A 14,808-nucleotide genomic window follows, 5' to 3' on the forward strand; every position below is an offset into this window, starting at 1 on the left:
GCTCTGTCACCCAGGCTGGAGTGCAGTGGTGCCATCTTGGCTCACTGCAACCTCTGCCTCCCACACGCCACCATGCCTGGGTAATTTTTGTATTTTTAGTAGAGACAGAGTTTCACCATGTTGGCGAGGATGGTCTCAATCTCCTGACTTCATGATCTACCTGCCTCGGCCTCCCAAAGTGCTGGGATTACAGGCCTGAGCCATCACACCTGGCTGGCCTCATCACACTTTCTAAACGACTATTATTAACTCATTTCCCAGATGAGAAAACTGAAGCTCAGAAAGATCAAGCGACCTGCCCAATATCCCAAAGCTATTAAGTGCCTATTCTTCCTGCCTGCCATACTTCCCTTCCCTCTGTCTTCCCCTTTGCCTACTTAACTGTGATTCAACCCAAAGAGAAATTTCCCCAGGAAAGCCTTTCCTAAACATCTTGCCTTGGCCAACCTCCCCAACTACTGTACACTTCGACAAGGCTGTGAACTTTCCCTTCACAGCCCTTGTCACATTTGTAATTGTTCATTTCCTTGGATTATTCCTGGGTTAAAGTCTATCTAGACTTTATGCATTTTTTTTTTTTTTTTTTTGAGACGGAGTCTGGCTCTGTCGCCCAGCCTGGAGTGCGGTGGTGTGATCTTGGCTCACTGCAAGCTCCGCTTCCTGGGTTCACGCCATTCTCCTGCCTCAGCCTCCCAAGTAGCTGGGACTATAGGCACCTGCCACCATGCTCAGCTAATTTTTTGTATTTTTGTAGAGAGGGAGTTTCACTGTGTTAGCCGGGATGATCTCAATCTCCTGACCTCATGATCCACCCATCTCAGCCTCCCAGAGTGCTGCGATTATAGGCATGAGCCACTCTGCACAGCCTAGACTTCAAGCTTTTAGAATAGCGTCTCTCTCTCTCTCTCTCTCTCTCTCTCTCTTTCTCTGTCTCCCTCCCATCGTATAACCAGTGAGTAAAACAACATCTGGGACATGTCAGTACTTGCTAGATATTTACTGAATAAAAGAATGAATGACTGAAATTCAAACCCGTGTCTCCAAAATCCAAGTTCTTGTCTGACATCATGACTTGTTGTTCTCCAGGAGAACAGGAGACGTCTCTCTCTGTCTCCTAGGCTGAGATTGCAGTGGCGCAATCTCAGTTCACTGTACCCTCTGCCTCCTGGGCCCAAGTGATCCTCCCACCTCAGTCTCCCAAGTAGCTGAGATCATAGGCATGGACCACCATGCCTGGCTAATTTTTGTATTTTTAGTAGAGACAGGGTTTCGCCATGTTGGCCAGGCTGGTCTTGAGCTCCTGGCCTCAAGTGATCCACCTGCCTTGGCCTCCCCAAGTGCTAAGATTACAGGCACGAGCCACCATGCACAGCCATGCATATCTCCTTTATGTAACTTAACAACATCTGCAACATTTGTTTGTGTGAGTTTTTTTATTCTGCCTGCATTTGTGTATGTGAGTCTTTTCCTATGGATTTTTCCCACCATGGCTGTAAGCACCATGAGAGTGAGGAAAATAGCTGTTTTGCTTTATCATATTTTCTCTGGTGCCTAACAAAGTACCTGGAACACAAGAGAGTCACTAATGGGATAAATACATGCATTAATGGGATTTGTCAATGAAGGGAAAAATTTAGTGCATTAGCTTGAATGAGGAGGTGGGTCCTACTGGCCTCTTGGGTAGAGGCCAGGGCTGCCACTAAACATTCTACAATATACAGGACAGCCTCCCACACCAAAAACTATACAGCTTAAAATGTCGATAGTGCTGAGGTTGAGAAATCCTGGTTTGACATATTATTCCTGTGTTAAAATTAATATATGTAAAATAATTTCCTCAGTTGTTAACATGGCATTTTTATCAAGCAATTTTGTTTTCTCTGAAATATACCTCAGATTGTTTTTAGTTTTTCCAGAGGAAACTTTATTCATCTTTTACTAGAGAAAAGAATATGGCAAACAGTGAATCTGTGTTTCAGGAAGGGTAACGTCGTTTTTCTTTTAATTTCCCTTTTGAAGCTCTCGGGGTGCTACCAACATCTTGGAAATCTGGATAATTTGAGTATTACTAAGGGAATAGTTTCATTCTACATGCTACAAATGTTTAATCATTTTATTTATCTAAAGCTCCTTTCTTGGCCAGGTGCGGTGGCTCATGCCTGTAATCCCAGCACTTTGGGAGGCTGAGGCGGGTGGATCACCTGAGGTCAGGAGTTGGAGACCAGCCTAGCCAAAATGGCAAAACCCTGTCTCTACTAAAAAAATATAAAAATTAACCGTGTGTGGTGGTGCGTGCCTGTAATCTCAGCTACTTGGGAGGCTGAGGCAGGAGAATTGCTTGAACCCAGGAGGTGGAGGTTGCAGTGAGCTGAGTTTTCACCACTGCACTCCATCCTGGGCAACAGAGCAGGACTTCTTCTCAAAATGAATGAATGAATGAAAGAAGGAGAGGGAAAGGAAGCTCCTTTCTCTTCTATTCCCAGTATTGCACCCCAAAAATAAGTAATCCATAAACCCCCAACGTATATTTCTGTTTTCTTAACTAGTTCTGAACAAAATGTTCAGTGTTGGCTGGGCATGGTGGCTCACGCCTGTAATCCTAGCACTTTGGGAGGCTGACGCTGAGGTCAGGAGTTTGAAACCAGCCTGGCCAATGTGGTGAAACCCCCTCTCTAGTAAAAATACAAAAATTAGCTTGGCGTGGTGACGTGTGCCTGTAATCCCAGCTACTCAAGAGGCTGAGGCAGGAGAATCACTTGAATCCTGGAGGCAGAGATTGCAGTGAGCCGAGATCGTTCCACTGCACTCCCGCCTAAAACTCCATCTCAAAAAAAAAGCAGGTGTTTTACTCTTAAAATAAGACATTAAAAAAATACTTCTGTTGTCTCCCCTCTTAGAACTGGTAATCTCTTCCTTCTCCACCCTCATCCCCTGCTGTGATTCTATATTGAAATATCATTGTATTTTGTGCCAGATGTCTTTGTATAAAACCAACTTAGTTCTGTGAGAAGAGTTGTACGTTTTTAATATTTTTGTTCTTTTTGTAGACTGCAGGAACAAAAATAGCCTTCCTATAGTAAGGTGGCAATTCACATTAAGAATGTAGATAAGCAAATTTAAACTTTTAAATGTAATTTGTCTAAAAAAATTGAAAAACAGTGTATAGTAAAAATCTCTCCTCCAACCAACGGAAAGCACTTTTATGTAAGATCCTTTAAGTTACTGACTTGAATCTTTACGTAAGGTAATTTGCTAGTATCTATTTTATAAATAATGTTATTTAATACTGTTTTATTTTCTATAGAATCCTGGTGTTTTTCCATGTAAATTTTTAAAAATTCTTAAAGTATGTATCCCTCATTTTCCCCTATAGTTGTTTGCTTCTACTTCTGTTTTTAAGAGATAGCATCTCAGTTGTTTAAGCTGGAATGCAGTAGCATGATCATGGCTTACTGCAACCTTGACTTCTTAGGCTCAAGCAGTCCTCCTGTCTCAGCCTCTAGAGTAGCTGGGATCACAAATGCATGCCACCATACCTGGCTAACTTTTCTTTTCTTTTCTTTTTTATTTTTTTGAGATGGAGTCTCACACTGTCACCGGGCTGGAATGCAGTGGCGTGATCTCAGCTCACTGCAACCTCTGCCTCCTGGGTTCAAGTGATTCTCCTGCCTCAACCTTCCAAGTAGCTGGGATTACAGGTGCCCACCACCATGCCCAGTGAATTTTTTGTACTTTTTTTGATAGAGATGGGGTTTCACCATGTTGGCCTGGCTGGTCTCGAACTCTTGACCTTGTGATTTGCCCACCTCGGCCTCCCAAAGTGTTGGGACTACAGGCGTGATCCATCACACCCGGCCAACTTTTTTTTTTTTTTTTTTTAAGAGACAGGGTCTTGCTCTGTTGTCCAGGTTGGTCTCAATTCCTGGGCCCAAGCAATTCTCCCACCTGGGCCTGCCAAGGTGCTAGTATTATAGGCGTGAGCCACTGCACCCAGCCCTTTATAGTTTTTTTCTTTTTTTTGAGATGAAGTTTCCCTCTGTCACCAGGCTGGAGTGCAGTGGTGCGATCTCGGCTTACTGCAACCTCTGCCTCCCTGGTTCAAGCGACTCTCCTGCCTCAGCCTCCCGAGTAGCTGGGACTACAGATGTGTGCCACCACGCCCAGCTAATTTTTGTAGTTTTAGTAGAGACGGGGTTTCGCCATGTTGGCTAGGATGGTCTCAATCTTTTGACCTCGTGATCCACCCGCCTCGGCCTCCCAAAGTGCTGGCATTACAAGCGTGAGCCACTGTGCCCAGCCAGCTCTTTATAGTTTAAGAGGAAGGATAAACCTTAAGAGATCACAACACTATATTTGTGTCAGGGATCCACAAGACTGCCTCCATGTTTGGAGATTTGCTAGAAGGACTCATGGGATCAGCTTAGGGTTGTAATGGCTAAGATTTATTACTGTAACATAGTATGGATATATAGTAGAAAGATCTCAATGGCAAAAGACACTGACAGAGTCTGGAAAAATCCATGTACCGGCTTCCTTATGTGCTGTGCCTTCCATGAGGATCACACAGACTACCTTCTTTCCCCCTTAATGAAAATACAACAACCTATGTGACTTCCCAAGAAACACAGTTTTTATCTTGGCTGGTCACATATGTGTACTCTGCCTAGCATGTGTGAAATTTCCAGACTCACAAAAAGAATAGCAGGATAAGCCACATTATTTCCATAGTCTAGATACAGTAAACCATGATTACCAGTTAGGGAACCCTCTTGAAATTCAAGTCCTCAGAAGCCAGCCTAGGACCAACTGTGCAGACAGACAGACCCTCCTTCACAGGATAATATAATAGTCTCAGATCTGCGTTGTTAATTTTTGTTTGCATAGAGTTTTATAATTGGAAGGTGTCTCAAATGCTACATATTTCTGTCTAATGGACTTTAGTAAGAGTGTTGTATAGTATACAACATGGAATTATTCTCCATTATAGGCAGGCTGTGATAAGTGTTCTAATGTTTATACAAAAGAACTCTGTAACTTTGAGCAGAGTAAAAAGAGTGTTAACGATACTTTTGACTGCAAATAGTGGAAAAATGTTGTGTTTAACTCTGAAATATGCTTTGCCTGATATTAGTATTTCTACTCTAGCTTTCTCTTGACTAGCGTAAGCATGGTATATATTATTCCATTCTTTTATTTTAACCTGTTTGCATCTTTGTATTTAACTTGTGTTTCTTGAAGGCGATAGTTTTATTTCTCTGATAAAAACATGTAAGAAGACAATCACATTAAATGTATATGGTCTAAAACCTCTGCTTTTTAATTGGGGGTATTTAGACCATGTACATTTAATATGATTGTCTTCTTATATGTTTTCTATTTATCTCTATCTGTTCCTTGCATTTTTCTTGCATCCCCCACCTGCCAAGATGGGGTCTTGCTCTGTCACCCAAGCTAGAGTGCAGTGGTGTGATCATACCTTACTGCAGCCTTGACCTGCTAGGCTCAAGTGATGTACCTCAGCCTCCCAATAGTGGAGACCACAGTTGTGCACCACCATACCCGGCTACTTTATTTTTTTATATATGGGGTCTCACTATGTTGTCCAGGCTGGTCTCATACTCCTGAGCTCAAGTGAGTCTCCTGCCTTGGCCACCCAGAGTGCTGGGATTACAGGTGTGAGCCATTGCACCTGGTCTTCTTGCATTCTTTTACTTTATTTATTTTTTTTTTGAGAGAGAGTCTCGCTCTGTTGCCAGGCTGGAGTGCAGTGGCGCTATCTCGGCTCACTAGAGTCTCCGCCTCCTGGGTTCAAGCGATTCTCCTGCCTCAGTCTCCTGAGTAGCTGGGATTACAGGTGTGCACCACCACACCCAGCTAATTTTTGTATTTTTAGTAGAGACGGGGTTTCACCATGTTGGCCAAGATGGTCTCGATCTCCTGACCTTGTGATCCGCTTACCTCGGCCTCCCAAAGTGCTGGGATTACAGGCGTGAGCCACCGTGCCCAGCTTATATTATTTATTATGATTCCAGTTTGCCTCCTTTTATTACTTTTACCTATTTTTAAAAATTATTTTTGTGGTTCCTTTAAGATTATAGTGCACATTTAGAGAGGTCTACCTTCAAGTAATATTGTACACTTCATCTATAATAAAAGCATTCCTTCATTTACTTTCTTTTCCTCCCTCCTGCACTTTGTGCTATTGCTGCCATGCATTTGACTTTTACATATGTCATAAACTCTGTAATATTTTGCTGTTTTTTTATTAAACATGTATCTCTTAGAGATTTAAATAATAAAAAATTTAAAAGATGTTTGCTCATATAGTTACCACTTTGGTGCTCTTTATTCCTTAGTATTGATCCAGATTTTCATCTGACATCATTTTGTTTCTGAAGAATATCCTTTAACATTTCTTGCAGTGAAGGTCTCCTGGTGATGAATTATTTCATTATTTATGTTTCTGGTGTGTCTTTATTTCACCTTCATTTTTGAAAGATATTTTTGCCAGGCATAGAATTCTAGTTGGCCTTTTTTCTTCTAGAACTTTAGAGATGTACCGCTGTCTTCTCACTTGCATTGTTTCTCAAAAGAAATCTGATGTTGTTCTTATCTTTGTTCTTCTATAGGTAACATGTCTTTTTATACACCTGCTATTAATAATGTTTCCTTGATTTTGAACAATTTGATTATGTTATCCCTTAGTGTAATTTTCTTCATGTTTCTTGTGCTTGGGGTTTGCTGAGTTTCTTGGATCCGTGAGTTAATAGGTCTTCTTATGGCTAGAACATTTTCAGCAGTTGTTTCTTCAAGTATTTTTTTCTCTTTCTTTTTTTTCTCCTTTGGGAACTCCAGTTACCTGCATATTATTAGGCCATTTGAAGTTGCCTGACTGCTCACTGATGCTTTTTAAAAATCACTTTTTAAGATTTTTTTTTCTTTTTGTACTTTAGCTAGTGTCTGTTCTTGTATCTTCAAGTTTGCTAATCTTTTCTTCTGCAGTTTCTAATCTGCTTTAGTTCATCCAATGTAATTTTCATCTCAAATGTTTTTGTCTTTGAAAGTTTGATTTTGGCTTTTCTTGTTTATCTCCCATGTCTCTATTTAATGTTTTGATTATATGAGATACATGTATAAAAACAGTTTTAATGTCCTCCTCTGCTAATTTTAACATCTATTTAAGTTCTGGGTCAGTTTTGATTGATTATTTTCAGTTTGCATCATGATTGTCTGCTGCTTTTTATGCCTGGTAATCCTCATTTAGTTGTAAAATTTACCGACAAAAGCAAAGTGACAAAAGGAGATAGGAAATATCATGAAAACAATTTCTCTAAAAAAAAAAAACTTATGATGCCTAATCCCCTGAATAAAGACATTTAAGCCTTTCTTGCTTCATATTTAGACAAAAATCTTCCTGCTTATGTTCCTATTTCATCTCTGAAAACAGTGTAAGCAACCAGTTGTCCGAGGCACCATTCTTGGACAGTAATAATGTGCTGTCCTTAGTATATGAAGATGTAATTACTGTAGTAGCAACAAAAACCTAAGCTTTTGGATTGGATTCTGTTTTGGTTTTATTTTCTTCTACCACTACAATAAATGACACATAATCTTTCACTCTTAACGATAAATGGTGCATAATTTTAAGACAATTATGTGGAATTCAGAGAGAAATTCATACTCATGGAACACGATTTATATTCTGTGAAGTGTTAACAATGACTTAATGAATGAACACGTAATCTGATTTAACTAACACCATCTTATTAATTGATATTACATACACAGATCAAAATTTTGTAATATACTGAACAGGACTTAACAGAAAACTACATATATGTAAGTGATTAATAATCTTTCAATACGATGATGAAGCCAACAGAAAACTATAAAAACTATATTTGAGAAAGATGGAAAGTGGTAATAGGAGTATATATGTTCTCCAATTCTAAATTAGAGAAAATCTTACGAGTCAGCAAGTTAACACTTAATTTGATTATTTTTGATGTTACCAGCCCCAGAAATAGCATTCTGAAACAGATTACAGGCTTTCTTCTTTCTATTTGTTGATACATCAACTACCACAACTCACCTTTCATTTTGTTGCTAAATTTTCAGAATAAAGTGTGTGTGTGTGTTAAAATTCTCCTGCTAAAATAATCTTTCTATGTTCTTACATATTTAGGTTTGGAATATGGTTCATGATGGCAGAATTGTCCAGGTCAATATAGTAAAATACTCTGACCAAGACAGTAGGACCCAGACTCAAGCTGGGGAAGAGATAAATAAGCTCAGTTAAAAAGAAAAAGAGGGCCAGGAATGGTGGCTCACACCTGTAATCCCAGCACTTTGGGAGGCCAAGGCGGGCAGATCACCTGAGGTCGGGAGTTCAAGACCAGGCTGACCAACATGGAGAAACCCTGTCTCTACTAAAAAATACAAAATCAGCTGGGTGTGGTGGTGCATGCCTGTAATCCCAGCTACTCGGGAGGCTGAGGCAGGAGAATCGCATGAACCCGGGAAGTGGAGGTTGCGGTGAGCCAAGATCATGCCACTACTGCACTCCAGCCTGGGCAACAAGAGCAAGACTGTCTCAAAAAAAAAAAAAAAAAAAAAAAAAGAAAGAAAGAAAAAGAAAAAGAGGTTGGGCATAATGTCTCAAGCCTGTAATCTTATCACTTTGGGAGGTCAAGGCAGGAAGATGGCTTGAGTCCAGGAGTTCAAGACTAGCCTGGGCAACACACTGAGAATCCATGTCTACAAAAAACTAAATAACTTAGCGGAGCAGGGTGGTGCACACCTGCAGTCCCAGCTACTTGGTTGGGAGGCTGAAGTGGGCAGATCACTTGAGCCAGAGAGGTTGAGGCTACAGTGAGTCATGTTTGTACAACTGCACTTCAACCTGGGCTACAGAGCGAAATCTTGCCTTAAAAAAGAAAGAAAAGAAAAAGAAAAAAGAGAAGAAGAAAAGAAGAAAGAAAAGAAACTTGCTGCATAGACATGACCATATTCATTTGAAAGCAAGTTAGTAAATATGTATCCTGAAAAGATAGTTTAGAAAAGAAACTTACAGACCATGACCAGAGTGATTATAAAACATTCTCTTAACAGTTAGCAGGTGGAATAAAAAGTGTATTCTTTAAAATGATTTCATTACTAGTAAATAGTTCTATAAGGAAAAGTAGGGGGAAAAAGGCAAAGAAATATGAAACTAAGTCAATGAAAAGCAAATAGGCTATGATCACACATCTAAAGGCCATGAACATGGCAAAGAGTATTTTAAAGAATCTAAAAAGTGTACTTTGAATTTTAAAGTATTTTAAGAGATTAATTTTATAAAAGGAAAAACAGTGTTATCACGCAGAAGGACCATATTTAGTATAATCAAAAGTTTAAGAAATTGGCCAGGCGTGGTGGCTCACACCAGTAATATCAGCATTTTGGGAGGCCGAGGCGGGTGGATCGGATCACCTGAGGTCAGGAGTTCAAGATCAGCCTCGCTGACATGGCAAAACACCACCTCTGCTAAAAGCACAAAAATTAGCCAGGTGTGGTGATGCACACGGGTAATCACAGCTACTTGGGAGGCTGAGGCATGAGAATTGCTTGAATCTGGGAGGCAGAGGTTGCAGTGAGCCACGATCATGTCACTGCACTCCCGCCTGGGCAATAGAGCAAGATTCTGTCTCAATCAAAAAAAAAAAAAAAAAAAAGAGTTTAAGAAATTAAGGAAAGCTGAGTGTAATGAAACCTTTTCAAGGGTAGTAGTGGTATAGCTCAAACCTGGTTTGAATTCCAGCTTTGTCACTTACTGGGTAAGTAAGTAGCAGCCTTAAGCCCAACTGGTGTTTGCTATTTGCACGTATTTTCATAAATAAAAGTGGTCTGTAATGTTTTTACAGTGTTGTCAAACTTCAAGATTATTAAAACTATTAATATCCTGTTTAATGTTTAAGAATAAATAACTATTTGATATCTTTTAACTACTGTCCTATCACTGACTTTTAAGACTCTTACTGACAATTTTGTGATTTTTTCATGTAATCATCCTTTATATCTTACTTAGCAAGTTCTCTATTAGACATATGTCTGCTGAATGAAACTCAATTACAGATATTTTTGAACATTTATTAAATTTAAATTATATTTGTACTTGTAAGAAATATTTAAACAATGCTTTGTTTTTCTAAAATAAAAGAAAACTAATAGCACAAACCTTCATTTTCTAAGTGTGTCAAGTTGTTTTGTTTTTTTTATTTGCTTGTGTGTTTGTTTTTTGAGACTGAGTCTCCCTCTGTCGCCAGGCTGGAGTGCAGGGTGTGAGCTCGGCTCACTGCAACTTCCAACTTGCTGGTTCAAGTGATTCTCCTGCCTCAGCCTCCCAAGTAGCTGGAATTACAGGCATGTGCCCCTACGCTCGGCTAATTTTTTTTTTTTTTTTGTATTTTTAGTATAGACCGAGTTTCACCACGTTGGCCAGGATGGTCTCCTCCTGACCTCGTGATCCACCCGCCTCGGCCTCCCAAAGTGCTGGGATTACAGGTGTGAGCCACTGTGCCTGGCCTATTTTAACTGTTTTATGTCTTCTGGTTTCGTGTGACAATGAAATGAGTTAATATTTCCTGCCTGCACCAACCACATTTAGGCTCTACCTTAATTGTTGATGAGGTCTTGGAGCCTCCCTTCTGCTCCCAGAGGCTTTTCTTGCTCATGTCTCCAGCCACAATATCCTGGGGGCAGCAGAAGGGTATGTCACAAGGGCAGACCCCTGGATCTTGGGGAGTAGAAGCCCTGGGCCCTTCTCTCCTGCCTTGCCTTACCTGGCCAGGGGGCCTGGGATCTGCCTACCAAAACTTTTTCTGTGCGATCCCAGTGGAAGAAGCAGGGAAAGGAATAAAGGTGCCATCCACCTCCACTCGGACAACACAGCCTTCTACACCAGCAAGGGTGAACCCAACCCTACTGCAATACCTCAGGGTTCTGTCTGCCCACATTCATCCTGGACAGTCCCACGCTTGTCTTAACAAGGAAACCTGGCCTGCTACTAAACTCCCCGGTGCTGGCTCTGCAGCCCAGCCTTGCCCCTGGAGGGGACCTTACCTTGCAGGACGGAGTCTTGGCCGCAGACTGAGCCTGTACCTCACCCGTCTCCCACCAACTCTTGGTACTGGACGCAGCCATGCTGGGCAGCTCTATGGAGGCCTGGCGGGCTAGCTTGGGGGTCTGGCCAGCAGTCTGCAGAGGAGGAAAAGCATCAGGATTACCTTAGTGGACAGCCACCGTGGTCACATCAGAGGGTCACACTGGGCAACCCTCTGCTTTGTGTTTGTGTTTTCCCTGGGAGCGATTTCCCAATGCAGCCCTAGAGTGGGGATCACTGGAAAGATGTGCCTTCCTCCATTCAATGCAATTGTGAGACACCTCCCTTTCCTGAAGAGCATCAGGGAGATGATGGCGCACAAGACAGATGTGGGTCTGCCTCCATGCTGCTCATGGGGTAGGGCTGGGGGACCATGGGATGGATGGAGGGACATTGAATGGATGGAGGGACAGTGGTTAAATTGCAGAGTATTGGTTGGATGGAGGAGCATTGATTAGATGGAGGACTATTGGTTGTATAGAAAGGTGTTGATGAAGGAATATTGATTGGATGGAGGAGTACTGATTATATGAGGGAGTATTTGTTAGATGGAGGGGCACTGATTGAATGCAGTAGTAGCCGCGTGGCTGGGGGCTGCTGGGCCTCGTTCCACATGGGGAGGCAGAGCCTGGGGTGCAGGGGCCCTCATGCTCACTCACGCTCCCACTCACGATCCAGCCCCTCCAAATGGAGGGCGGCGCAGAGCTGGGGCAGAGTATTGAGGAGGTGGAGGGGTTCCACGGAGGAGAAGCCTGGCCATGTTGCTCCCCATGTTCCCATGTCCCAGCCCCTCCATGTGAGCAAGGTCTCAGCTGGGGTGTGTGTCCTTGGGCCTGGGGCATGAGATGGAGCCCAAGCTCCTCCTTGGACCTGGGCTTCCAATGGGTCCAGGGCCCTCACTCCAGCTCCACAGACCCCCTCCACCAAGCCATAGGGGGGGCGTGGCTTGGAAGCACACATTGGCACAGAGACCCCAGAAGCCCGTGTGCACACGTTTCCTTAGGTCCACCCCTAAGGGCAACGAGTCCGGGCCCCAACAGCCCCATAAAGGCCCTCACTCTGCTCACAGCTCATGCCCAACACATGGAGTGTGGCCGGGCGCGGGACTCCCTAGGCCTGGGGCACATGCAGGTGCACACCCAACTCACACACATTCTCCACGAGCCCACGCTCCGGCCACACAGGCACACATGCCTGCACCCCATGCTCATACAAATATGCACGTGCTCACACACGGGAACCCTTGACATCCACGTGCATGTGCAGACAGGCTTGGGAACAAGGGGACCACGTCCCCCTCCAGGGATCCCTTCAGGGTGCTGCAGCCTCACTTTAGTGAGGCAAACATTGACTGTTTGCCTTGCCATGGCCCCGACAACGGCGGTGCCGGCCCTGGCACGAGGCCCAGGTGTGTACTCTGGGAACATCATCCATGCAGAGCTGGGCCCCTGGAGGATCACTCTGACTGAGCTCTCCCTGGCTAGGGGCCTGGGGGACAGAGTGGGGATGCAGAGTAAGCATCTCCTGGTGTCTCCCCTAAAACCCAGTGCTGGGGAGAAGCCCCGCCAGCCCCTGGCCTCTGACCCAGCAGAGCTGAGAACGTGGAGGCCTCTGGGCCCCTTCTCCGTCTCCTCCCTTTCCCCTCCCCCAGGATATGAGTCATGCGGGCCCCCTCCCCATGACCTCACCGCATCACTATTCCACAGCTGGGCTCCGTTCTGGGAACTGAAAGGGGGGCAGCTCTCCTGGGGTGGGGTGGGGGCCTCTGGCCTGGGAAAGGCGCCCCCCGGCCAGCGGCCCAGGCCCCTTGGCATGCACCACGGAGCTGTCAGGACTCTGGGATGGCCGACCCTGCCTGTGGCCCCGGCTCAGCCCCGTGCAGCTGCGAGGGATTTGGTGTTCCTGCGCAAATGCAATTAGGCCATTTCCTATGTCTGTTCTGGCTCCGAAGTCCAAGGTTCAGCCCAAGCGGCCAGGCGGTTACGGGGGGGCTCCATCCACCTCCCATCCCAGCACACACCCCCACCCTCACAGTCCCAGGCTCCACTTCGGGGCCTGGCCCCCAGCCAGGGACACCAGTATGCACAGAACCCTGAAGGATGCCTCGTTCTGAGTGGAGCTCCCCAAGCTCAGGTCTGTTCCTGTCGGCCTCGTCCACTGCCAACCACCCCCGACTCGGGACACTGGCCCTTCTTCTCCTTCCTCCACAGACCTCCCCACCTCTACCTCCCAGTCCCCACTGAGGGCCTGACAATGCCCATCTTCGGCCCAGCACTCCCAGCTACCCACTGCCGTCCTTCCCCTGCCTGGAAGTGCAGACACTTCCAGAATGGGTGTCCGGCTCGGTCCCCGTCCTGACTCTGCTCCCTACAGGCAGCTCCTGTGGCTGCCCCACCCAGCTGTCCTGAGCCCAGAGGTCGGCTGGAGAGGGTCGGTCCTCTCTGGGGTCCTGGGGAGTCAGGAGGCTCTGGTGAAGAGCAAGGGCTGCAGGGAGGATGTCGAGGGGAGGAGGAGCTTCTCCTCCAGGCCTGACCACAGGTCTCCTGGACACCACAGGGAGCTGGCGGGAGGACTGGGGAGTTGGGCAGGGCCTTCCACCAGGGTGGTTCGGGACTCCCTGCACAGCACTGAGGTCTCTGGTCCCCTCATTAGCCCAGCCTCCCGTGGGATCATAGACTTGACCCCTCAAGTCACTGCAGAGCCCAAGAGTGGAGAGACACAGCACCGTGTGCCGGGAAAAGGTGCCCACAGGGGCCCTTCATGGCTGAGGTTTCCAGAGGGTAGTGGGACGGCAACCCCGCTCCCCACCAGCCGCCCACCACAGCGTTCATGATACAGCTTCGGAGTGTGGGTCGGGGTCTATCTGGGAAACCAGGGCAAAGGCGGTGGCAGCTGGCAGCACCCACACCCACAGCTGGGGCACTGCTCACATGAGCCCCCATCAGCAGGCCCCTTGGTTGTGCCACAGGCAGGGGTCCTGCCCCAGGGAGGGGGTAGTCCGGGGGGGGGGGGCTCGAGGGTGTGGCACAGGCCAGCTGTCACTCCTCCCTGGAGAGGCAGCTGGGGACGCAGCTGGGAGGGGAGCCAGGAGCAGAGACAGCCCGGGGCCAGCAGGTGGGTGACAGGTGGGGCAGCGGGAGGGGCACGTGCTGTCCGCCTGGGGCTGGGGTATAGAGACGGGAACCTGCCCCCCAATGCCTGGTGCTGGCCCAGCCTCCCCCCGGGGCCTCTAGCACCTTCCCAGTTGTGTCTGCATCCTCCTGGGCGTGGCGGGGGAGGGTGGGGGTCAACCCCTTTCCTTGTAGTCCCGCGCCAGTGGGCAAGGGAGACGCCCCAGTGAGCAGGAGCCTAGCCTCTCTGCCTGGGGAGGCCAGGTGATGAGCCACCCGGAGTGGGAGGAGGCCTTGAACTTGGGTCTGAAAGATGAGCAGGGGTTTGCTGGGCCGGGTACAGGCAAAAGCTAATGCAGGAAGGCAGAGAGCAGGAGCGCTTAGAGGGAGTGGCTCTGTGCAGCCGGAGTCAGATGGGTGACCCTCACGCAGGAGGAAGCACTGGGACCCTCTCTCCTCACGCTGGGTCCCCCGCCTCCCTCTAGGATCCCCACACCCAGGTCCTTCTGGGCCTCTGCCACACAGATCAGGTCTGGAAGGCTCCCTGGAGGAGGCGGC

General features: G+C 46.2%; 1 pseudogene and 1 further gene across 7 annotated transcripts in view; one reads left to right on the top strand and one right to left on the bottom strand.

Annotated features, from left to right (window-relative positions):
• The window catches only part of IGK (immunoglobulin kappa locus), a 1,378,008-nt gene that overhangs the window by 712,545 nt on the left and 650,655 nt on the right, over positions 1-14,808 (top strand).
• Positions 1-14,808, bottom strand: part of LOC107985911 (lymphocyte specific protein 1 pseudogene) — a 42,827-nt pseudogene that overhangs the window by 27,067 nt on the left and 952 nt on the right. For 5 of the 7 annotated variants that reach the window (NR_160765.1, NR_160763.1, NR_160764.1 and 2 more), the window contains exons 2-3: positions 11,101-11,235; positions 10,653-10,730 (exon numbers count right to left, since the gene is read on the bottom strand). The product of NR_160765.1 is annotated as a lymphocyte specific protein 1 pseudogene, transcript variant 5 (transcript). The remainder of the gene's footprint in view (positions 1-10,652; positions 10,731-11,100; positions 11,236-14,808) is intronic. The other 2 variants (NR_160761.1, NR_160762.1) reach the window with 1 other exon arrangement.

Source organism: Homo sapiens, chromosome 2 (assembly GCF_000001405.40).
Source record: "Homo sapiens chromosome 2, GRCh38.p14 Primary Assembly".
Classification (NCBI taxonomy): domain Eukaryota; kingdom Metazoa; phylum Chordata; class Mammalia; order Primates; family Hominidae; genus Homo; species Homo sapiens.